Source organism: Homo sapiens, chromosome 5 (assembly GCF_000001405.40).
Source record: "Homo sapiens chromosome 5, GRCh38.p14 Primary Assembly".
Lineage (NCBI taxonomy): Eukaryota > Metazoa > Chordata > Mammalia > Primates > Hominidae > Homo > Homo sapiens.
The window spans coordinates 181440547-181465518 of record NC_000005.10 but is presented as its reverse complement, the minus strand read 5'-3'; the positions used below and the strand labels follow the sequence as shown (position 1 = coordinate 181465518).

The 24972-nt window shown below is 49.3% G+C and overlaps 2 long non-coding RNA genes across 4 annotated transcripts in view; one reads left to right on the top strand and one right to left on the bottom strand.

The window, feature by feature from the left end:
• Positions 1-2640: 2640 nt before the first annotated feature.
• LOC124901156 (uncharacterized) overlaps positions 2641-24972 on the bottom strand; it is a 44142-nt gene continuing 21810 nt past the window's right edge. Inside the window, exons 3-6 of one of the 3 annotated variants that reach the window (XR_007059090.1) lie at positions 19773-19952; positions 10690-10817; positions 3175-3309; positions 2641-2712 (exon numbers count right to left, since the gene is read on the bottom strand). This is a non-coding gene — a long non-coding RNA (uncharacterized LOC124901156). Of the gene's footprint in view, positions 2713-3174; positions 3310-10258; positions 10818-13375; positions 14544-19772; positions 19953-24972 lie in introns of those variants that run through there. The other 2 variants (XR_007059091.1, XR_007059092.1) reach the window with 2 other exon arrangements.
• Positions 4782-11159, top strand: LOC124901157 (uncharacterized). Its single transcript, XR_007059094.1, has 2 exons — positions 4782-5294; positions 10296-11159. It is a non-coding gene; the product is annotated as an uncharacterized LOC124901157 (long non-coding RNA).

Below are 24972 nucleotides of genomic sequence, written 5' to 3'. Positions count from 1 at the left end.
GTAAATAAATGAGGAAGAAGATTTTTGAGCCACTGAAATTTGGAGGTTGTTTGTCACCACAGTTTAACCTAGCCCCCATTTACTGATGCACGGCTGAAGAATGAGTCCGAACTGGATCTAGACAAGACATGTGAAGAGCACGCCAGGCTGAGTAAAATTCAAGTGTTGTCTCAAAGATAACACTGAGCACGATATGTTATTGGGGTGGGTGTGGGATAAATAAGGTATATCAGGTGAGAATAACAAGAAACTCAACTTTAAAAGACGGTGCCGATTTGGAAGACACCAAATTGGAAGACAGCAGGAGCTGCCCCATAATACCAGTAAAGTGAGAAGCAGAGATAAACTAGTCCTAGACAGCTGACTCATGTTGGGGGCAGCCCACTCACAGTGACCCTGACCCAACTCTGACTAGAGGCCACTTGCTCTCAACACCAGGGTGCTCAATGGCCCGTCCTGGTACTCTGCTCTACACTGGTTGTAGGAAGGAATCTACAGGTTGAAATAAGGAGATCATTTCCCTGAGGTTCCGAAGCTCGTATTTACTCACCATTTGTTGTTTACTGCTAATGTTGAGCACTGTCAGTAAAATACATAAAACCCTTTGCCAATCCAGGAAGTGAAAATGACACTTTACTGTTTTAATTTGCATTTCTCTGCTTACAAGTGGATTACACACATTTTCATGTGCTGTTGGCTACTTATTCATTCAGAAAACATACTAAGTGCTGGCTCTTTTTCATGTCCTTTATCAAGTTTGGATCATGTCATTTGCTATTTTCTTTCTGATGTAAACTCTCAAAGTCTGAAGGGTATTGTCTTTTCCTGACACATATGTTGTAAATAATTTTCTGGCTTACATTTTGACTTTTAATTTCATTCACGATGTTTTTAATGAATAATTTTAATTTTTATGAATGCAAGTTAAAATAATTCTTTCATTGTGGTTTCTGACACGTCATGCCAATAAGGGTCTTCTCCTCCAAGAGCACAGAAATATTTGCCAATACTGTCCTTAAAATCGGTCACAGTTTCATTTTTTATATATGCATTTTACTTCAATTGGGGCTTCATTTTACTGAATGCCCTATTTGAAGCAAGTTTCTCAGTTAATTCTTTTCTCAAAGGGCTAAGTATGGTAGATTGCAAACATAAGTGGCCACATAATGCTCTCACCTCCTTTGCCTCCTCTCCCAGGAGGAGATAGCGTCCATCTTTCCACTCCTTAATCTGGGCTTGGCCGTGTGACTTGCACTGGCCAATGGGATATTAACAAGTCTGATGTGCACAGAGGCTGTAGAATGTGCACGGGGGCTTGGTCTCTCTTGCTGCCCTGGAGACCAGCTGCCCCACGAAGGAACCAGAGCCAACCTGCTGCTTCCTGGAGGAAGACAGTCCCTCTGTCCCTCTGTCTCTGCCAACCAGTTAACCTGCTGCTTCCTGGAGGGAGACAGTCCCTCAGTCCCTCTGTCTCTGCCAACCAGTTAACCTGCTGCTTCCTGGAGGAAGACAGTCACTCTGTCTCTGCCAACCCAGTTGACCGCAGACATGCAGGTCTGCTCAGGTAAGACCAGCACAGTCCCTGCCCTGTGAGCCAAACCAAATGGTCCAGCCACAGAATCGTGAGCAAATAAGTGATGCTTAAGTCACTAAGATTTGGGCAAAAGCTGAGCATTTATCCCAATCCCAATACTGTTTGTCCTTCTGTTTATCTGTCTGTCCTGCCCTGCTCATTTAAAATGCCCCCACTGCATCTAGTACATTTTTATAGGATCAGGGATCTACTCTTGGATTAATGTTGTGTTCCCACCTCGAGGCAGCTTTGTAAGCTTCTGAGCACTTCCCAATTCCGGGTGACTTCAGGCGCTGGGAGGCCTGTGCATCAGCTGCTGCTGTCTGTAGCTGACTTCCTTCACCCCTCTGCTGTCCTCAGCTCCTTCACCCCTGGGCCTCAGGAAATCAATGTCATGCTGACATCACTCTAGATCTAAAAGTTGGGTTCTTGGACCAGGTGTGGTGGCTCACACCTGTAATCCCAGCACTTTGGGAGGCCGAGGCGGGTGGATCACAAGGTCAGGAGATCAAGACGATTCTGGCTAACACGGTGAAACCCCGTCTCTACTAAAAATACAAAAAAATTAGCCGGGTGTGGTGGCAGGTGCCTGTAGCCCCAGCTACTTGGGAGGCTGAGGCAGGAGAATGGCTTGAACCTGGGAGGTGGAGCTTGCAGTGAGCCAAGATCACGCCACTGCACTCCAGAATGGGAGAGAGAGCGAGACTTTCTCAAAAAAAAAAAAAAAACTTAGGTTCTTGGATGTTCGGGAAAGGGGGTTATTATCTAGGATCCTTGAAGCACCCCCAAGGGCATCTTCTCAAAGTTGGATGTGTGCATTTTCCTGAGAGGAAAGCTTTCCCACATTATACAGCTTCTGAAAGGGTTGCTTGACCCACAGATGTGAAGCTGAGGCTGAAGGAGACTGATGTGGTTTCTCCTCAGTTTCTCTGTGCGGCACCAGGTGGCAGCAGAGGTCAGCAAGGCAAACCCGAGCCCAGGGATGCGGGGTGGGGGCAGCTACGTCCTCTCTTGAGCTACAGCAGATTCACTCTGTTCTGTTTCATTGTTGCTTAGTTTGCGTTTTGTTTCTCCAACTTTGTGCCTCATCAGGAAAAGCTTTGGATCACAATTCCCAGTGCTGAAGAAAAGGCCAAACTCTGGAAAAAATTTTGAATATTTTGAGCCAAATGTGAGGACCACAACCTGTGAGAACGGAAAATAAATCCTGGGACCCCAGACTCACTAAGCCAAAGGGAAAAGCCAAGCTGGGAACTGGCTTATGCAAACCTGCTTCCCATCTGGTTCCTAAATAAGATAGCTATTACACAAAGATAAAAAAGCTACATCCCTGCCTCTACCTCCATCACATGTAAAATGTGTATTCAGTGAACGCTGACCAAAGACAGAAGAATGCAACCATTTGCCTCTGATTTACCCACACCCATTTTTTCCACTTCTTCCCCTTTCCCCAACACCCACACTTCTCCCCTTTACTTACTGAGGTCCCCAGACAATCTTTGGGAAAAGCACGGACCACAGTTTTTCCTGTGGTTCTCTGTTCTTTTCTCAGGTGTGTCCTTAACCTTGCAAACAGATTTCTTGAAATGATTGACACTCACCTTGGTTGTGTTCTTTGATCAGCGCCTGTGACGCAGCTTCAGGAGGTCCTGAGAACGTGTGCACAGTTTAGTCGGCAGAAACTTAGGGAAACGTAAGACCACCATCAGTACGTAGGAGTTGTGCATTGGTTTGGTCTGGAAGGAGGAAAATTCAAAGTAATGGGGTTTACAGGTCATAGATAGATTCAAAGATTTTCTGATTCTCAATTGGTTGAAAGAATTATTATCTACAGACCTGCTATCAATAGAAAGGAGAGTCTGGGTTAAGATAAGAGACTGTGCAGACCAAGGTTCTTATTATGTAGATGAAGTTTCATAGGTGGCCACCCTTAGAGACAATAGATGGCAAATGTTTCCTGTTCAGACCCATAGAAGGTGCTAGGCTCTCAGCCAATGTCTTCAGGATCAGAGAAAGACCTGGAAAGGGAAGGGATTCTCTACAGAATGTAAATGTCCCCCACAAGAGACAGCTTGGCAGGGCCATTTCAAAGTATGTCAAAGAAATATATTTTGAGGTAAAATATTGATTTCATGGCCTCTGTCTGTCATGTGATGCTGCACTGGAATCAGGTTGGAATTTGGTATCTTATTGCTAGAGAGCCTTGTCAGTCTTCAGATCTCTGTTTTAATGTTGGTTCTGGTCAGTTCTGCCCAAATTCCAAAGGGAGGAGGGTACAATGAGGCCTGTCCAGCCCCCACTCCTCCTCATCACGGCCTGAACTAGTTCTTCAGGTTTCTCTGGAATCCCTTTGGCCCAGAGGCGGGGTCCACGCGATCGGCTGTGGGGCTTAGAATTTTATTCTTGGTTTACGGCAGCTTTAGGGAGGTGCTCTGAGACCCGAAACTAGACTCGACTTTAACAGACACAGACGACCCTGAAGGCGAGACTGTCTGCTGGTGGGATGCTGGGCGAGTTGCTTAATGTCCCTGAGCTGCTATTTGCTAACTGTGAAGTGGGATCCTGGTCCCTGACAGGCAAGATTTTGGCACACGGAGAGCTGGTGCACGTGGGCGGCTGTCCCCTAAACTCGCGTCCCTTCTTTTTAATCATACCCCACTGGCTGCACCTACACCTCCTCCCAGGCACACACCGAAGAGGATGAGCTCTGGTCCTCGAACCTCTTGTCTGCTCCCACCAGGCAGATTCTCTGTTCCCCGTGCCCAGGCAGCAGTGGTGGACACCAGCATCCCGGAATGGTGTAGAAAGGCTGACCCCATCATAGCCAAAGCCTGGGGTTTCCTGTTTCCCTCCTCCTCCTCCCCACTCCTCCCCCGACCCCTCCCTCCTCCACTTACCCCCATCCCCTGCATAATGGGTTTCTAGCTGCCTCCTCTGCCTGCCCAAACAGGACAGGCAGGAAAAACTGGCTTGGTTCTGAGTAGGCAGTTTCAGGGCCTTAAGGAGAAATTCATCGGCCATTAATCAGGACCTTCCCTCCGGGGAGTTGGCAGCTTCAGGTGTGGTCTCTGGAAACAAGCCCCACAAATTATTATCAGAGAACCTCTGTCTTGGGTGGCAGAGGCAGCCTGGTTGGGGTGGGCACCCCGGCTACGGAAAGGAGCAGCTCCCTCCACTTTCCTTCCTGCTGCATGTGGAGAGGCTCGAGCGGGGCACAGTCCATGACGAGATATTAATCTTGTGTTTGGATTTTTCCTTTTTTTTAATAAAGAAGAAAGATAAGGTATTGTGCTCATCTTGTAAAAATCAAGCACACAGTACATCAGTCTATTCTACAAAGAAACACAACCTAAGCAAAGATTTGTTATAGGCAGTGGCCAGTTACAGAAACAGTAGGACTTGCATTAGGGGTTTTGTATGGGAAAGAAAGGGAGTCAGACACAGACGTGATGGTGGAGACAGGGGCAGGAAGACAGAGCAGCTGACACTTCCAGAAATAGCTGGCCAGAGGCCAGCAGGAGGGAAACACCAACCCGAGGAAAGAGAGACGGGGATTGGGAGAGAAATTCAGAAGAGACTGAGGCACGCACACAGACAGACACACCCACCCACACACAGATACGGATTCAAAGAGACATGCACACTCTGAGTTTCTGAGAGTAAGCCACTGTCAGTTCCTGGGGTGAGCCACCAGCCACATGGACACAATTTCCTCTTTTTGGTAAGTCTTTGACCTGTCTGAACCCCCTACTTAATTACCTATAAAATGAGTCATTGCAAGGATGACAAAGACGCTCTCCTTGACCAAACTCCACTCAGGCTCCTTTGAGCCTTCTCCTTGATGAAGCCTCATCCTTGGCCTGCTGAGCTCAGTGCTAGCAAGGAATGCTGCTAAGGTCCTTAGTGAGAATCTTCCCCACCCTTGCTAACTAACCAAGCTCCTTTCAACAACTTTTCATCACCTCCCTCACCCTGCTCATTGGCTATCCCCACTTGTCTCTGTTGTATTGAGAGTTGAATTCAGTCTCTCTCTCTCCTCTTGCAATAGTTTTTTTTTTTTTTTTTAAGAGACAGGGCCTTGCTCTGTCAACCAGGCTGGAGTGCAGTAGCACAATCACAGCTCAGAGCAGCCTCAAACTCCTAGGCTCAAAGGATCCTCCCACCTCAGCCTCCTGCGTAGTTGGGACTACAGGTGTATGCCACTGCACCAAATAATTTTTTAAAACATTGTAGAGATGGGGTCCTGCTTTGTTGCCCAGGCTGGTTTTGAAGTCCTGGCTTCAAGTGATCCTCCCACCTGGGCCTCCAAAGGTACTGGGATTACAGGCATGAGCCAACCTATCAGCCTGGTAATCAGCCTGGTAATCACGTAAAACAGACACATAGACCAGTGGAACAGAATAGAGAACCCAGATATAAATCCACACATTTACAGCCAGCTCATCTTCAGCAAAGGCACCAACAACATACGAGCGAAAGGACGGTCTCTTCCATAAGTGGTGCAGGGGAAACTAGATAAAGATATGCAGAAGAATGAAACTAGACCCGTCTCTCTTACCATACACAGAAATCAAATCAGAATGGATTAAAGGTAAAACTGAGACCTGAAAGTATAAAACTACTGGAAGAAAACATTAGGGAAGTGCTCCAGGACATTGTTCTCAGCAAAGACTTTTTCAGTAGGGCCCCAAAAGCACAGGCAACCAAAGCAAAAACAGACAAGTGAAATCACACCAAGCTAAGAACCCTCTGCAGACCAAAGGAAAAAGTCAACAAACTGAAGAGACAACCCACAGAATGGGAGAAAATACTTGCAAGCTACCCACCTGAAAAGGGATTCATAACCAGGAGCTCAAACAATAGCAAACAATTAATCGAATTTTAAAATGGGCAAGAGACCTGAGTAGACATTTCTCAAAAGAAGATGTACAAATGGCCAGCAGGTACATGAAAAAATGCTCAACATCACTAATCATCAGAGAAACGCAAATAAAAAACTGCAATGAGGTCTTCTCTCACCTCAGTTAAAATGGCTTTCGTCAAAAACGCAGGGAATAAGGGATGCTGGCGAGGATGTGGAGAAAGGGGGACCCTCACACACTGTTGTGGGAACGTTGATTAGTACAACCACTATGGAAAACAGATGGAGGCTCCTCAAAAAACCAAAAGGGGCCGGGCACGGTGGCTCACGCCTGTGGTCCCAGCACTTTGGGAGGCCAAAGCAGGGGGATCACAAGGTCAGGAGTTTGAGACCAGCCTGGCCAACATGATGAAACCCCATCTCTACTAAAAATATAAAAAATTAGCCAGGCGTGGTGGTGCGACCCTGTAATCCCAGCTACTTGGGAGACTGAGGCAGGAGAATCACTGGAACACAGGAGGTGGAGATTGCGGTGAGCGGAGAGCGCACCATTGCACTCCAGCCTGGGTGACAGAGCAAGACTCCTCCTTAAAAAATAAATAAATAAATAAAAGTTGGCCGGGCGCGGTGTCTCACACCTGTAATCCCAGCACTTTGGGAGGTGGAGGCGGGCGGATCACAAGGTCAGGAGATCGAGACCATCCTGGCCAACATGGTGAAATCCCGTCTCTACTAAAATACAAAAAATTAGCTGGGCGTGGTGGTGCGCACCTATAAATCCCAGCTACTCGGGAGGCTGAGGCAGGGGAATCGCTTAAACACAGGAACCCGGGAGGCAGAGGTTGCAGTGAGCCAAGATCACACCACTGCACACCAGCCTAGTGACAGAGCAAGACTCCATCTCAAAAAACAAACAAACAAAAAAAAAACCATCTAAAAGTAAAACTGCTGTATGATCCAGTAATTTCACTAACTGGGCCTATAGTCAAAAGAAACAAAATCAATATATCGTAAAGACATCTGCACTCTCATGTTTACTGCGGGACTACTCACAATCGCCAAAATACGGAATCAGCCTCTGAGTTCATCAGCGGATGATGGATAAACAGAACGTGGTGTGTATACACAGTGGAATATTATTCAGCCATACAGAGGAACGACAGCCTGTTATTTGTACAAGATGGAACTAGGGATCATTATGTTAAGTGAAATAAGCCAAGCACAGAAAGACAAACATTGAATGTTCTCTCCCACCTACTAAAAAAGTAGCTCTCGTGAAGACAGAGGGTAGACGCGTGGTTACCAGAGGTGGGGAAATGTAGCGGGGAGAGGGGGAGAAAGAGAAGTTGATTGAAGGGTACAAATACGTGGTTTGATAGAAGGAATAAGACCTAGTGTTACATAGATCATAGTTGGCAATTGCCTACTGTATATTTCAAAATGGCTAGAAGAGAAGAATCGGAACGGTTCTAGCATAAAGCAAAAACAAATATTTAAGGCGATAGATATTCCAAGTAGGCTGATTTGATTTTCACAATTATATGAATGCATTAAACTATCACATGTACCCTGAAACTATGTACATCTATTATGCATCAGTGAAAAAGAAAAAAGAAACAAGAACTTAGATTTTAAACTCAGCACTCTCCTAGTGGGCTCCTTAAAAATATTTTTGTTTGGGAGGACAAAGTAGGAGGATTCCTTGAGCCCGGGAGCTTGAGGCTGCAGTGAGATAGTGCCACTGCACTCCAGCCTGAGCGACAGAGAGATACACTGGCTCTAAATATAAATAATATAAATATATATTTATGGAATAAATAAATGAATAAAATATCTTTGCATGCTGGTGAGCCCAGGGTACAGTCTGCCCTTGGCAGCTCGGTGACTCAGCCAAGGCGGCTAAACAATCCTCGCCCACTAGACAGTGGAGGTCGCCCTCCAGAGGACCTTATCAGATGTACGTGCAAAGCAGTTTTCAAGACAGTTTTCTATTCAGAGTGTGGTTTAGCCGTTCAGGGAGAGAGATCACAAAGGAAAACCACCTTTAGGAAAGCAGGTGAGAAAGGTGTAAGTTCCCAGGCTTGGGGGTCCTGGCCCAGCCTAGCTGTGGGCAACCCCGGGAAGGCTGAGCCCCGCAGGCTGTATGGACAAAGCATCTCGCTTTCCACACTGGCCACAGGTCTATCCCTGGCAGTAAACAGGTCACAGGTGGGCAGCAGGTCTAACACCTGTAGCGAAAGAACGCAGGAGAGGAACTGAGGCTCTGCTACCAGCAGATGCTCCAAGCACATCCCACGGGGAGGACCATGAACAACTCAGCTGGCCACAACCAGGAAAAGGGTGTCCAGGGCCTCAGAGCTGCTTCAGTGGGGCCATTTCCAGGCTCCCAAGCAGTAATGTGGGTGCCCTCTCAAGAACAGAAGCGGAACAGCCTAACGCTAATGTTTGGGAAGAAGAGAACAGTGATCCCCCTGGTTACCTCCCATCTCTCTCTGCAGTTCTCATGCATCTGTGCACACACGCTCACACACACATATGTCCATCAATCCACTCACAATGTTTGACTTAAAGCAGAAACCATATAAAGGGCAGGATAAGGAGAAAAGACGAAAGGAACTGAAAAGATGCAAACAGCCACTAACACGCCAATTTGCACCTTGCACAGGGCCTGGGAAGTAATGACACGGCTTCTCGTTATGCATCAATGATCTCATGTTTTCATTTTAACAAACACCCTAATACAAAAATAGGCTTTATAGGGAGGAGAGAAAATATGTTTTATAGGGAGGAGAGAAAAGCCATTCTGAAGAGCTGGATAGGTTGCCTTTGGCCCACATGGAGTCAGCCCCCTGCCCACGCCACCAGGCTCACGTTCAGGGCCCTGGCTGGAGAAACCTGAGCTGCAGGACCCGCTGCCCACCAATGCAGAAGAGAAGGCAGTATGCTTTTTGCATTGGGTGGAACAAAAACAGAAGAAATGGGAATTTGGTGAGAAATAAGGGAGGTGGTCCTCAGAATCTGCAGAGCAGTGGCTTCCAAACTCTGTGATGCAACCCCAGCCAGAAAAACACTTTACATCATGGCTGAGGGCACATACATGCACGCACATATGCACAATACAGGAAATCTGGAATACAGAAAGCCCTGGAATTCCTAAATAACATCCTGCCCACATGGGAATTCTGCCCTAGCTGATGGCTTCTCCGAGGCCTAGGCCCAAATCCACACCTGCTGTTTAGCCCAGAGCCAAGCCTAGGAGTGTAGGGTCCCCTATGCATGGGTGTCCAACCCCATCCCTGTCCGGAATAGCACGGGTGCTTCTCGGTGCCACAAATGTTGGTGGCGGCTGGGGAGGAGTGGTTCCTCCAAGGCTCCATGCCTGCCTCCACCACTGAGGCCAGCACGGTGGGACTGGGCTAGGGAGACAGGCAGGCTGGCCTACCCACTGAAGGAGCCAGTCTGCTTCCACCTAGTCAGCAGCTCCAGGGAGCGCATCTCCCTCCAGGAAGGGCAGGAGGCCAAGAGGAGCTGGAAAGGTGGGCATTTGATATCATGAGGTATAAAGAGAGCTCCTAGGGGTCCCAGACATCAACTAATAAAAGCACCTCAGAAGTTCATAGATGGGGAAATAGCTGTGTGAATATACCGTGTTATCCAAGTCATGCGGAGAGGAAGGGCTCGAACCCATGGCTACTACTCCCCACCCCCGTCCTCCTCCTCCTCTTTCCATTAAGTTTTTGTGATTATGAAAGTAGCTTACATTTGGTGTAGAAAATATGGAACATATGGAAAAATTTAAAAAGACTCAGGCAAAGGGTCATGTGTCACTTATGACCAGAGGCCGTTGCTCTTTATTAACAGATGGAAACGTTTTCTTCCAAATTGTGCTGCACGTTTTTGGCGAGAGCATGGGGCTGTGCGGCGTCCCCTCCCTGGCGCCCACCTGTGCCCTGCACACTGGCCTGCACTGTGGTGATCTCGCTTGGCCCCCACCTGATTCCCGACATACAGCAGAGGAACCTTAGGCTCAGGTGGAACAGCCTCAACTGATTCTGTCCCTGAACTTCCGTACACAGCCCTGGAGTCGTCTTAGAGCCATGATTTATTTAACTGTTCTTTCATTTTACAGAACATAAAATGTATTGTTTCCAACTTTTTTCCTATGGTAAATAATACTAAAGTAAATATCTCTGTGCATGAATCTTTTTGTATATGTTGGAATATCCTTAAGATAAGGCCCCAGAACTAAAAGTACCCTGTCAAAAGGTGAGCATTTCCGGTTCCCCTGCTGTGCTTTGCTGCGTTGTTCTCTCCTGCTGCAACGTTCTCACTCCACAATCCTGGGGCAGGGAGGGGAGGCCCAGCTGAGTTTGGATCATAATCCTGAAAGACACAATCCCAAGCACCATAATGTGGAATGTTGAAATCCCTAAAGATCAAAATCCCTCAAGTCTAAAATCCCTGATATTTCAGATGACCACAGCTACAGGGCTAGGTGCACACAATTAGTAACCGTAGCGATATACGTGTACACGTTTCTCTTTTGACTTATTTCTTTATGGTCTGTCTTCTTATAACTGCTACACCCATGCCGCCGTCGTTAGTTACCTCAGTGTTTATGCAAAAATACCTGTTATCATTGCCTATTTTATTGTGTAAAGTGGCCTATGAAATGTTCTGTTGTGTTTTTATGTTTCTCAAATACATACCTTTTAAAAATGTAAATAAATAACATCGACATTATTTTTTCCAGATTTATACTTTTGGGATTTTGATCTTTGGGATTTCAGGATGAGGTATTCGGAGCTGTGTCTTTGGGGATGATGACTGGCTCCTGTGCCGTCCCACCCATCTTTGCGGCATGGGACCTTGGCATCCCCACCTCGGCCCTGGCTCTACCTGACCTCACAATGGACCAGGCCAACTCAGTCAATGTGGAGGCAGCATCAGGTAGACCTGGGGCTGAAACTCAACACTGGTGTTCACCTTGACCTAGCTTCTCTGAGCCTCAAGTTCCTCATCTGGACACCAGTGGGGTTAGGGGCTGAGGCACATCAGCACTAAGCAGGAGAGCTCATCGTTGCCATGCATCAGCTGTGGCTCTAGAGCCGAGACGCTCCCAGCCGTGTAGGCTTCCCAGCAGTGCAGGCCCCTCTCTAGAGCTGAGATGCTCCCGGCAGTGCAGGCCCCTCTCTAGAGCCGAGACGCTCCCAGCCGTGTAGGCCCCTCTAGAGCCAAGACGCTGCAGGGTTAATCAGGGCTGCCCAACAGTCCATCCCCTCTTCTCTCTCTGAAATCAAGAAACATTCCAAATTCCAAAATGCAACTGGTCCCAAGTGTTTCAGTTAAGGGACTGTGGCCCTGTGTAATGCCAGGCAGTGACAAGGACTGTGACTGGGAGCCATCGTAAGTCGATGCTGAATGCCAAAGGGAGGAAAGGAGGCAGCGGTCCTTAAAGGGCCCACTGAGCTCAGATCCCACGCCTGAGCCTCCGCCTCTCCGTGCAGTCCCGGAGATGGCACACAGCCTTCTGCACGAACCGCAATGAGCTGGGCTCCCTCATCACCGCTAGGAGCACTCTGAGAAAGCAGGGCCCTTCCACGGGGTTCTGCAGGAGAACGGCGAAGGGTGCTGTTCAACCTGCTCAGTCAGTTGCTAGGTGAGGAGAATTTAGTATTCATAAGTGAAAATTTCTAAGTTACTGGAATTAATTATGGGGTTTGATTCTACATCATCCAGAAAAGCCTGGATGCCACACAGACTCAATGCTGAAAGCTCCCAGTGCACCTGCACAAACACACCCACACATGCACCCATATCATATACACACGTGCAAACATGTTCACATTCACACTCACTCCTACATACTCGGATCATATACACATTTGTGCACACGTGTTCATATTCACACTCCTACACACCCAGATCATACACACATACACACACTTGTGCATACACATTCATGCTCACTCCCACACACCCAGATCATATACACACTCGTGCACACATGCTCACATTCACAATCACTCATACCCAGATCATACACACACTTATGCACACATTCACACTCACTCATACATACACAGATCATATACATACTTGTGCATACGTGTTCGTATTCACACTCCTACACACCCAGATCATACACACATACACACACTTGTGCATACACATTCATGCTCACTCCTACACACCCAGATCATATATACACTCGTGCACACATGTTCACATTCATGCTCACTCATACACACCGATTGTACACTCGTGCACACATTCACACTCATACACACCCAAATCATATATTCATGCACACATGTTCACATTCATGCACACATGTTCACATTCATGCTCACTCATACACACCCAGATCATATATACACTCGTGCACACATTCACACTCATACACACCCAAATCATACTCACATTCATGCACACATGTTCACTCATGCTCACTCATACACACCCAGATCATATATACACTCGTGCACACATGTTCACATTCACTCATACACAGCCCAAAATATACACATTAATGCACACAATACATATTCATACTTGCACACACCCAAATCATATACCCACTCACACACACATGTTCACATTCACACTCATACACACTCAGATCATAAATACATATGTACACATTCACATTCATACCCCCAAATCATACGCACACTAGTGTATACATGTACACACTCACACACACAAATCATACACACTCATACACACAGTCATACACACTCACACATACCCCCAAATCATATACACACTCATGCACACCGTCACACATATAATCCAAACACACAAAAATATATGCATGCGCTCATTCATACACAATCTCACACATACATATACAGCCATGTGGGATTTTTCTGCCATTTTCAGAAATGTAAATTTTGTAGTTCCTGCTTTTTAAAGACTATAAATTATTTTTAATTTACCTTCATTCTCAATTTTGTTTGTTATAAGTAGCTTGATTGTCATACAGCATCCAACGACGCATATTTCCTTTATTTTTTTTGAGATGGAGTCTTGCTCTGTCACCCAGGCTGGAGTGCAGGGGCGCGATCTCGGCTCACTGCAACCTCTGCCTCCCGGGTTCAAGTGATTCTCCTGCCTCAGCCTCCCGAGTAGCTGGGATTACAGATGCCCATCACCACGCCCAGCTAATTTTTGTATTCTTAGTAGAGACGGGGTTTCACCATGTTGGCTAGGCTGGTCTTGAACTCCTGACCTCATGATCCACCTGCCTCGGCCTCCCAAAGTGCTGGGATTACAGGTGCGAGCCACCGTGCTCTGCATATTTTCATGTTAAAAATGTTTTATTTAAAAAAAAAAAAAAGATGTCCAGAAGAGTTGCAAAGACAGTACTGCAACTTCCCACAGACCCGTTCACCAGCTTCCTCTCACTTGAGCATCTTACACAGCAATGATGCACGTGTGGAAACTGCGACACTCACACGGGTGCCATCTCAGCAGCTCACGGTGTGGAAACTGCGACACTCACACGGGTGCCATCTCAGCAGCTCACGGTGTGGAAACTGCGACACTCACGTGGGTGCCATCTCAGCAGCTCACGGTGTGGAAACTGCGACACTCACACGGGTGCCATCTCAGCAGCTCACGGTGTGGAAACTGCGACACTCACGTGGGTGCCATCTCAGCAGCTCACGGTGTAGAAACTGCGACACTCCCATGGGTGCCATCTCAGCAGCTCACGGTGTGGAAACTGCGACACTCACACGGGTGCCATCTCAGCAGCTCACGGTGTGGAAACTGCGACACTCACACGGGTGCCATCTCAGCAGCTCACGGTGTAGAAACTGCGACACTCCCATGGGTGCCATCTCAGCAGCTCACGGTGTGGAAACTGCGACACTCACACGGGTGCCATCTCAGCAGCTCACGGTGTGGAAACTGCGACACTCACACGGGTGCCATCTCAGCAGCTCACGGTGTGGAAACTGCGACACTCACGCGGGTGCCATCTCAGCAGCTCACGGTGTGGAAACTGCGACACTCACGCGGGTGCCATCTCAGCAGCTCACGGTGTGGAAACTGCGACACTCCCATGGGTGCCATCTCAGCAGCTCACGGTGTGGAAACTGCGACACTCACACGGGTGCCATCTCAGCAGCTCACGGTGTGGAAACTGCGACACTCACACGGGTGCCATCTCAGCAGCTCACGGTGTAGAAACTGCGACACTCCCATGGGTGCCATCTCAGCAGCTCACGGTGTGGAAACTGCGACACTCACACGGGTGCCATCTCAGCAGCTCACGGTGTAGAAACTGCGACACTCCCATGGGTGCCATCTCAGCAGCTCACGGTGTGGAAACTGCGACACTCACGCGGGTGCCATCTCAGCAGCTCACGGTGTGGAAACTGCGACACTCACGCGGGTGCCATCTCAGCAGCTCACGGTGTGGAAACTGCGACACTCACGCGGGTGCCATCTCAGCAGCTCACGGTGTGGAAACTGCGACACTCACGCGGGTGCCATCTCAGCAGCTCACGGTGTGGAAACTGCGACACTCACGCGGGTGCCATCTCAGCAGCTCACGGTGTGGAAACTGCGACACTCACGCGGGTGCCATCTCAGCAGCTCACGGTGTGGAAACTGCGACACTCACGCGGGTGCCATCTCAGCAGCTCACGGTGTGGAAACTGCGACACTCACGCGGGTGCCATCTCAGCAGCTCACGGTGTGGAAACTGCGACACTCACGCGGGTGCCATCTCAGCAGCTCACGGTGTGGAAACTGCGACACTCACGCGGGTGCCGTCTCAGCAGCTCACGGTGTGGAAACTGCGACACTCACGCGGGTGCCGTCTCAGCAGCTCACGGTGTGGAAACTGCGACACTCACGCGGGTGCCGTCTCAGCAGCTCACGGTGTGGAAACTGCGACACTCACGCGGGTGCCGTCTCAGCAGCTCACGGTGTGGAAACTGCGACACTCACGCGGGTGCCGTCTCAGCAGCTCACGGTGTGGAAACTGCGACACTCACGCGGGTGCCGTCTCAGCAGCTCACGGTGTGGAAACTGCGACACTCACGCGGGTGCCGTCTCAGCAGCTCACGGTGTGGAAACTGCGACACTCACGCGGGTGCCGTCTCAGCAGCTCACGGTGTGGAAACTGCGACACTCACGCGGGTGCCGTCTCAGCAGCTCACGGTGTGGAAACTGCGACACTCACGCGGGTGCCGTCTCAGCAGCTCACGGTGTGGAAACTGCGACACTCACGCGGGTGCCGTCTCAGCAGCTCACGGTGTGGAAACTGCGACACTCCCGCGGGTGCCGTCTCAGCAGCTCACGGTGTGGAAACTGCGACACTCACGCGGGTGCCGTCTCAGCAGCTCACGGTGTGGAAACTGCGACACTCACGCGGGTGCCGTCTCAGCAGCTCACGGTGTGGAAACTGCGACACTCACGCGGGTGCCGTCTCAGCAGCTCACGGTGTGGAAACTGCGACACTCACGCGGGTGCCGTCTCAGCAGCTCACGGTGTGGAAACTGCGACACTCACGCGGGTGCCGTCTCAGCAGCTCACGGTGTGGAAACTGCGACACTCACGCGGGTGCCGTCTCAGCAGCTCACGGTGTGGAAACTGCGACACTCACGCGGGTGCCGTCTCAGCAGCTCACGGTGTGGAAACTGCGACACTCACGCGGGTGCCGTCTCAGCAGCTCACGGTGTGGAAACTGCGACACTCACGCGGGTGCCGTCTCAGCAGCTCACGGTGTGGAAACTGCGACACTCACGCGGGTGCCGTCTCAGCAGCTCACGGTGTGGAAACTGCGACACTCACGCAGGTGCCATCTCAGCAGGTCACGGTGTGGAAACTGCGACACTCCCGCGGGTGCCATCTCAGCAGCTCACGGTGTGGAAACTGCGACACTCACGCGGGTGCCGTCTCAGCAGCTCACGGTGTGGAAACTGCGACACTCACGCGGGTGCCGTCTCAGCAGCTCACGGTGTGGAAACTGCGACACTCCCGCGGGTGCCATCTCAGCAGCTCACGGTGTGGAAACTGCGACACTCACACGGGTGCCGTCTCAGCAGCTCACGGTGTGGAAACTGCGACACTCACGCGGGTGCCGTCTCAGCAGCTCACGGTGTGGAAACTGCGACACTCACGCGGGTGCCGTCTCAGCAGCTCACGGTGTGGAAACTGCGACACTCACGCGGGTGCCGTCTCAGCAGCTCACGGTGTGGAAACTGCGACACTCACGCGGGTGCCGTCTCAGCAGCTCACGTCCAGGACCCCAGGCTGCACTGGCCCTCACGCCTCCTTAGTCCCCTGCACCTGTGACCCTTTCCTGGCCTGTCTTCGTTTCACTGCCTTGACAGCTTTGCAGAGTGCTGCTCAGGTATTCTGCAAGATGCCCCTCAATTGGTGTGTGTGTGATGTTCTCTCTGATTACACTGGAACTGTGCGTTTGCGGAAGAACACGGCAGAGGTGGAGCGCTCTTCTCATCACGTGCTCTCAGGGGCCACGATGTCAACATGCCTCATCACTGGTGGTCTGGACCTTGATCACACGGCCAAGGTGAGGCCTGCCAGGTCTCCCCACGGGAGAGTGACTGTTTTCCTCTCCATGTCCTGCTGGTTAAGAGTGAGTCATGAAGTCCAGCATGAGCTCCAACTCCCACAGGAAGGAGCATCAAAGAATTTGGGCACCATGGTAATTACTGAACATTTAGGGGAGACACTTTGACAGTATACAAATATCTTCTTTCTCCTTAAACTTTGCACAGGAATTTTAGCATTCCTCAGGGGAGCTTGCCTGCAGCACTGATGGTGATTTTCTTTTTTTTCTTTTCTTTTCTTTCTTTCTTTCTTTTTTTTGAGACAGAGTTTTGCTCTTATTGCCCAGGCTGGAGTGCAGTGGCACAATCTCAGCTCACTGCAACCTCCCGGGTTCAAGCGATTCTCCTGCCTCAGCCTCCCAAGTAGCTGAGATTACAGGCATGTGTCACCAGGCCCAGCTAATTTTGTATTTTTTTGTAGAGACAGGGTTTCACAATGTTGGCTAGGCTGGTCTCGAACTCCTGACCTCAGGAGATCCACCTGCCTCAGCCTCCCGAAGTGTTGAGATTACAGGCACGAGCCACTGTGCCCAGCCTGATGGTGATTTTCCCTATTTACTCCACATTTCTTGTTTGGAATTTGTTCCAAGAAAGGCCTGTCCCTTTCAGTTTTTTGTTTTGTTTTGTTTTGTTTTGTTTTTGAGACAGAGTCTTGCTCTGTCACCCCAGCTGGAGTGCATTGGCGTGATCTTGGCTCACTGCAAGCTCCACCTCCCGGGCTCACACCATTCTCCTGCCTCAGCCTCCCGAGTAGCTGGGACTACAGGCGCTCGCCACCTCGCCCGGCTACCCTTTCAGTTTTAATTTATTCAATAATTTATTTATATGCTTACAAATCCATGGACATTCATTTTATTCTTTGGGGCATAATCCGATTTGTGTGTGTGTGTGTGTGTATGTCTGTGTGAGTGTGTGTGCACTCAAATCATTGTAGCTGTGGCCACTGGGAGCTCTTACATTTTGGGTTCCATGCCCTTTTGAAATGCCCACAGCTTTTTAAAAATTTTATTTTTGAGCATTTTCTTACTTCCTGGGACTACAAGATGCTCCAGGTTCATCTTGTATTTTCTCTCCCACATCCCAATTATCAGCCATTTCTCCAGGGAGACTTGGCTCCTTTTATTGAAGATGAAATTTAGAAACTAACATCTGGGCATGGAATGTGCTTGCTGCTACTGGGGTGTCCCCTCTCAAAGGACAAACCCAGGATCTACAGATGTGTGTGCTAAGCCATGTATGCACACGCACGTGTGTGTGTATATATTTAACCTATCTGTATATATGTATTATGTAAACATGAGTTCCTGCTGGCATATCTGACTATAACTGACCACCTCAGGGTCCATTCTGATCTGTATATATGTATCATGTAAACACGACTTCCTACTGGCATATCTGACTGTAACCGACCACCTCAGGGTCCATTCTGATCTGTATATATGTATCATGTAAACATGATTTCCTACTGGCATATCTGACTATAACTGACCACCTCAGGGTTCATTCCGATCTGTATATAAGTATCATGTAAACACGAGTTCCTGCTGGCATATCTGACTGTAACCGACCACCTCAGGGTCCATTCTGATCTGTATATATGTATCATGTAAACACGAGTTCCTGCTGGCATATCTGACTATAACCGACCACCTCAGGGTCCATTCTGATCTGTATATATGTATCATGTAAACATGAGTTCCTACTGGCATATCTGACTATAACTGACCACCTCAGGGTCCATTCTGATCTGTATGTATGTATCATGTAAACACGAGTTCCTACTGGCATATCTGACTATAACTGACCACCTCAGGGTCCATTCCGATCTGTATATAAGTATCATGTAAACACGAGTTCCTGCTGGCATATCTGACTGTAACCGACCACCTCAGGGTCCATTCTGATCTGTATATATGTATCATGTAAACACGAGTTCCTGCTGGCATATCTGACTATAACTGACCACCTCAGGGTCCATTCTGATCTGTATATATGTATAATATATATTATATATGGACCTCAGGGTCCATTCTGATCTGCATATATGTATAATATATATTATATATGGACCTCAGGGTCCATTCTGATCTGTATATATGTATCATGTAAACATGAGTTCCTGCTGGCATATCTGTCTATAACCGACCACCTTAGGGTCCATTCTGATCTGTATATATGTATAATATATATTATATATGGTCCTCAGGGTCCATTCTGATCTGTATATATGTATCATGTAAACATGAGTTCCTGCTGGCATATCTGTCTATAACCGACCACCTTAGGGTCCATTCTGATCTGTATATATGTATAATATATATTATATATGGACCTCAGGGTCCATTCTGATCTGCATATATGTATAATATATATTATATATGGTCCTCAGGGTCCATTCTGATCTGTATATATGTATCATGTAAACATGAGTTCCTGCTGGCATATCTGTCTATAACCGACCACCTTAGGGTCCATTCTGATCTGTATATATGTATAATATATATTATATATGGACCTCAGGGTCCCCGCTGGCTTTTCCATGACTTCCTTATCCAGCTGTGAGAACCCTGACTCTTACTACTGTATTGACTTATTTGTGAAACCTTAGTATATATAAAAGTAGTTTCAAAGTTGCTAACATGTATTGCTGTGGGAAACAATTTTACCAATTGGAGTTTAGTGCTTAGATATGCAGAGTTATTTGATTCTTTCCAGAATCTAATCAAAACACTGTTTTTGGACTTACCCAGGTCAGCTCCTTTCTGCCCACTCTTTCAGCGCAGGCGTGTCCTGCTGTGGAACACACTCTGGGATTCCTGTGTGGGTCTGTACCCGTCCTGTACCCGTCAGGACCCCCGGGCCCTGACTCTTGATGTTGTTCTTGCTCCTCTTGTTGATCTTGTTGTTCCCACAGTGAGGTCCAGTCCTGTGGGGTTTGACAAGCACAGCATCACGTACCCAACTCTGTAGAGCCACACAGAAGACTTTCATCCCTCAAAAATGGCCCCAGTTCGGCCCCTCGGTAGTAAACTCCTCTCCCCTCACTCACCCACTGGCAAATACTGATCTGTTTCTGTCCCGATAATTGTGTCTTTCCATATACACAAAAGTGAAGTCTGAGGGTGAGGCCCATGGCCTTGGGAAGCAGGCATAAGTTGGGGGGGGTGGGCACACAGGGTCACCGCGGAAGAAGATCCATGCTGCCCACACAGCCACATGTGGGACAGGGCAGGACCAGCCCCCCAAGCTGTGAACCTCGCCCGAGGCTATGCCCCACTCTGGAGCAGAACGGCCTCTGCAGAGCTTCCACCATGCACATGGGGAGTGCACAGCCAGGCCAGGAAGGGGAGGGCCCCTGTCTGCAGAGACAGGCCCATCCTGGACAGGAGGGAACAGCATTCCAGGCAGATCCGCCACTGGCTGCTGTTCCCAGAGTGGCTGTGTCCCCTCTGCAGTGTCCATGCCCAGCCGGCCTCCCCTGCCTCCCTCTGCAGCTGTCCACGCCCAGCCAGCCTCCCTGCCTCCCTCTGCAGCTGTCGCTCTCCACCCTCCTCTCCTTTCTTCTCTCCATCCCCCCTCCATCCCCGTCTCCTTTCTCCTCTCCATCCCCCTCTCCATCCCCCTCTCCATCTCCCTCTCCTTTCTCCTCTCTAGCCCCCTCTCCTTTCTCCTCTCTATCCCCCTCTCCTTTCTCCCTCTCCATCCCCCTCTCCTTTCTCCTCTCCATCCCCCTCTCCTTTCTCCCTCTCCATCCCCCTCTCCTTTCTTCATGGCTCTTTCCCTTTCCTGCCACAACTGAACTGAGTGCAGGTGATTTTCGCTGCCTGCTGGCTTTATTCAGCTTCAACTTCTTGACTTTAAAGGTGGATGCAGGAAATGTGTGTCTTGTGTCACACATGGAAATGTTGCTGAAATAAGTTACTCTTCACTGATGTGGCCTCGAGGGTTTTCTGCTGGGTTTCTGGACCTTGTAAGCAAAGCAGACCCTCACCCGACTGACCTCCTGGCTGTGACGATGTGTGTTTCTATCCCACACAGGGAGGGTGTTTATGGTCTGAAGTGAGGCCTCTCATTAACTCCTCAAGAGTCGATTGAAGCACAATTTATTAGAGCCCAGAAATCATGGCAATCCATTCCCACAAGCACACAGCACAGCTAAACCAGCTCCAAGGAGGGTCCGAGTGTCCACAACTGCACCCCAGGCCCATTGTGCCTGCCGCTGGAGAGTGTGGGGCCCCTTGGCCCCTAAAGGTTTGCTGAGAAGTCACTGACATGAGACAGATGGATTAATAGGAGAAACGGTATGCAAATTTATGTGATGTGTACATATAAGAACCTTTAGAACGAAGACCCAACGATGGGGGAAATTGTCCATTTTTATGTTTAGGTTTAATAACGTATGAACAGTCCTCTAAAAAAAGGATTGGACACAAAGGGCTTGATCTAATGTGAATAGACTGAGTGGGAACCCAGCAAGGTCTGTCTAGATTTGTCTTCGTCTCTGAGCATTTTCTTCTCTGGACGTGGGGCAGGGCCCTCTCTGGAATGACAGTCTCATGACCTACAGTCAAACAAGGGATGTTGGATCATTTCTCTCTAGTCAGCTCTTATATAGAAAGGTAGACGGAAAACTGAGTAATATTTTTAGGTTTTCTGACCAGCTTTGGGGAGAAGGGGTTCTGATTTCTGTGACCGGCCTTGGGGAAAAAGAGAGTCTGGTTTCTACAGCGCCTTCGGGGAGAATGAGACTGAGAGACAGGAGGGCAGGAGAAGGTCAGAGACAACTTTTGCTTCTGAGGCTGCTGCTGAGGACTTCATTTTGGGGCGTTGTTTTCTGAGCCCCAACAGAAGGAAGGAAGCCTCTCCCTCCAGGGGTCAGTCCTGGGCCTCAAGGGCACCCTCGAAGCAGGCAGCTCAGCTCACAGAGCTCCCCTCGGCCATGTCCTCCACCTGCCCTTCCTTGGTCCAGCACCTCACCTGCACACACCTGTCTGGAGAGTCCCCAAGGTTGGAGAGCTGCTGAGTCAGCTGGGCCGAGCACACAGCGCAACACTTCCTTGTGCCTCCTAACCAGGATGGGCGACACCAGCCCATTTTATGGATGGGACAAGAAGAAGCTGGGCTGACAAGCCCAACATAGTGGAGCCAGCAACAGGCTTTTACTCTCCTCTCTGTCTCTTTGTCTCTCTCCCCCACCGCACCTCCATCCGCTCCATTCTCCTCTCTGCACATCAGCTTCCCAGACAATATTCTTGGTTTCTGTGGCTCCCAAACTGAAGCTTCCCCACAGTGGCTGCAACTATCCAGACCTGGGGCCACACTTGGGCCTCCAGGCAGGGGATCTAGTGATCACATTCTGGTCATGTCATCAGGCCAACTTGGCTGAGCTCTGCCCTCCTTATCTCTCTTCTCCCCTCGAGCCCTCACCCTGGTTACCTGCACAAGTAAACTTGCCCCTAACTGACCCCCTTTTCTCCCTCCATGTCCCTCAATACAACACTAACTCTGGCAAAAAAGACCAGCCTGGCCAGGTGCGGTGGCTCACGCCTGTAATCCCAGCACTTTGGGAGGCCGAGGCGGGCAGATCACAAGGTCAGGACATCAAGACCATCCTGGCTAACACGGTGAAACCCCGTCTCTACTAAAAATACAAAAAATTAGCCAGGCATGGTGGCAGGCACCTGTAGTCCCAGCTACGCGCGAGGCTGAGGCAGGAGAATGGCGTGAACCCGGGAGGCGGTGCTTGCAGTGAGCCGAGATCGCGCCACTGCACTCCAGCCTGGGCGACAGCGAGACTCCGTCTCAAAAAAAAAAAAAAAAAAGACCAGCCTGAAGCAGAGATTGGGTCCCAGCCTGGCTCTGCCTGGCCCTCTGCTCCCGCTTCACCTCACAGACAGAACGCTGCCCTGTGGAGGGGTCCCCGGACCCTTTGGTGGGTGCCAAGCGGGTATGGAGGCCAAGGCCTGAGTGGTGAGAATAGTCCAGGGGCTAGCGCTGCGTGGGGAGGGCGAGCTCAGAGAGCAGGGGAGCCTGACCCTGCAGGTCAAGACTTCTGTCTGAGAGAAATGAAAAGCTGGGGATTTTAAGCAAAGGAATGCCTTGACCCAACCCTCACAACTTACATAATAATTAACTTAAAAGGAATCATAAGTTTAAACAGAAAATCTATATAAGAGGTTTACAGTTTAATTTAAAAACTATAATAGGTTTATAGTTTTTAAATTAAAATTTTAAATATAGTGGTTTATAAAACTTTGAGAAGAAAACATAAAATCCCTATGAATGCTGCAAAAGTCACTGTTGAGAGAATGAAAACACAAGACATAGAGTTGGAGAAAATATTTGTGAATCTCATATCTGGCAAAGGAATTGTATCTAGAATACATAAAGAACTCTCAAAATCCAACAGTAAAAACACCAAATAATCCAGTTACAAACCGGGGAAGGACTTGAACAGATGCGTCACCAAGCAAGGGATATGGATGGGAAATAAGCTTCCATCAGCCACCAGGGAGATGCAAATTACAGCCACTAGGAAACGCTTTTCATTCATTCCGGGATGGCTGAAATGTAAGCACGGAAAATGCTGGGTGCCCGCAAGAACGCGGAGCAGCAGGCACTCATTCCCGATTAGCGGGAGCGCAAAGCGAAGGGGCGGCCTGTGGTGTTTTCCTGTAAAGTTGGGCACACGCTTCCCACATGACTCAGCAATTGCACTTCTGGGTATGTACCCGAGAGAAACAAAAGCTTATGTTCACACAAAAACCTACAACGCAAATGCACAAACAGCTCTATCCAACAACCATCCCACCCTGGAAGCAACCCAAACACGCTTCAGCGGCACAGGCGCCTCCACGCGGAACCCCACGCGGCGCTCAGCACGGACGAGGAGGGAGCCGCGCACGCGCGGTCGGCTCGGCGAGGAGCCGGTCTCCAGGTGCCGCCAGCTGCGGGATTTCCTCTGCAAAAGACAAACCACAGGGAGAGCTGCCGGGGCTGGGTCGGGGAGCGTGACTGTGAACGGAGTTCTGGGGGTGATGTAACTGTTCTGTATCCACAGTGTTGCTACATGAATCTATAAATGTGTTAAACTCATAGAACTGTACACCAAAAAATAGCAGTTTTGCTGAATGTTAATTCAGAAATGAAATTAAAATTTTAAATTAACAACAAGCAACTTTACAAGAGGAAAAAAAAAAACCTCATTTCCTCCCCACAAAGCCACCTCATGAGCCTGGGTGGTGCCTAGCCAGTCCTGCTGCTGAACCTGCTCTGACCTGGCCTAAGGGTAGGACTCGAGGCTGGGAGCCAAGGGCCAACCACAGGACAGGCAGCAAGACCCGCTTCGCTGGTCTGTCACACACACCGCACCAAGTCGGTGTTCAGGATAAACCGGGGCACACTCTGAGCTGGGCCTGTCTCCGGCTTCAACCAAAAAGCCTGAGCTCTGGCAGGTGAAGGACCAGACGTTTCTGTGGGGCTATGGACTTGTCTGGGAGGCAGCCACCTCTAAGCCACCCAGGATGGTTTCGGTTGTGTTTGGATGGAGTTCTGAGTTTTGCCAGTTAAAATTCCCCCTTCAGGAGCTCTCTATGGGGTTAAAGTGCAAGATTTGGGGTAGAAAAATGACAAGTCAGAGGACTGGAAGGAACATTATGGACTGTCCTCCCTTCTGCCTGAAGAGATGGGGAGACTCTCCCAGGCCATGTGGAAGACCTCACAGGGGGACCAACAGCTGCCTTTCAGCCTGGCCGAGGGAAGAGCCCCTGACTCAGCCTCCGCAGGAGGAGGTGGGCTGGAACCAAGTTTCCCTGCATCAATCCAGGCAGGCAGCCCCGAACAGTGCACTCCAACATGGGATAGTGAGCCAGCTTGGGGGACAGCAGCTGTCTAAACAGGAGCATGCAACCCCCGTGCTGAGAGTTCCCCAGGGTCACGACTACCCA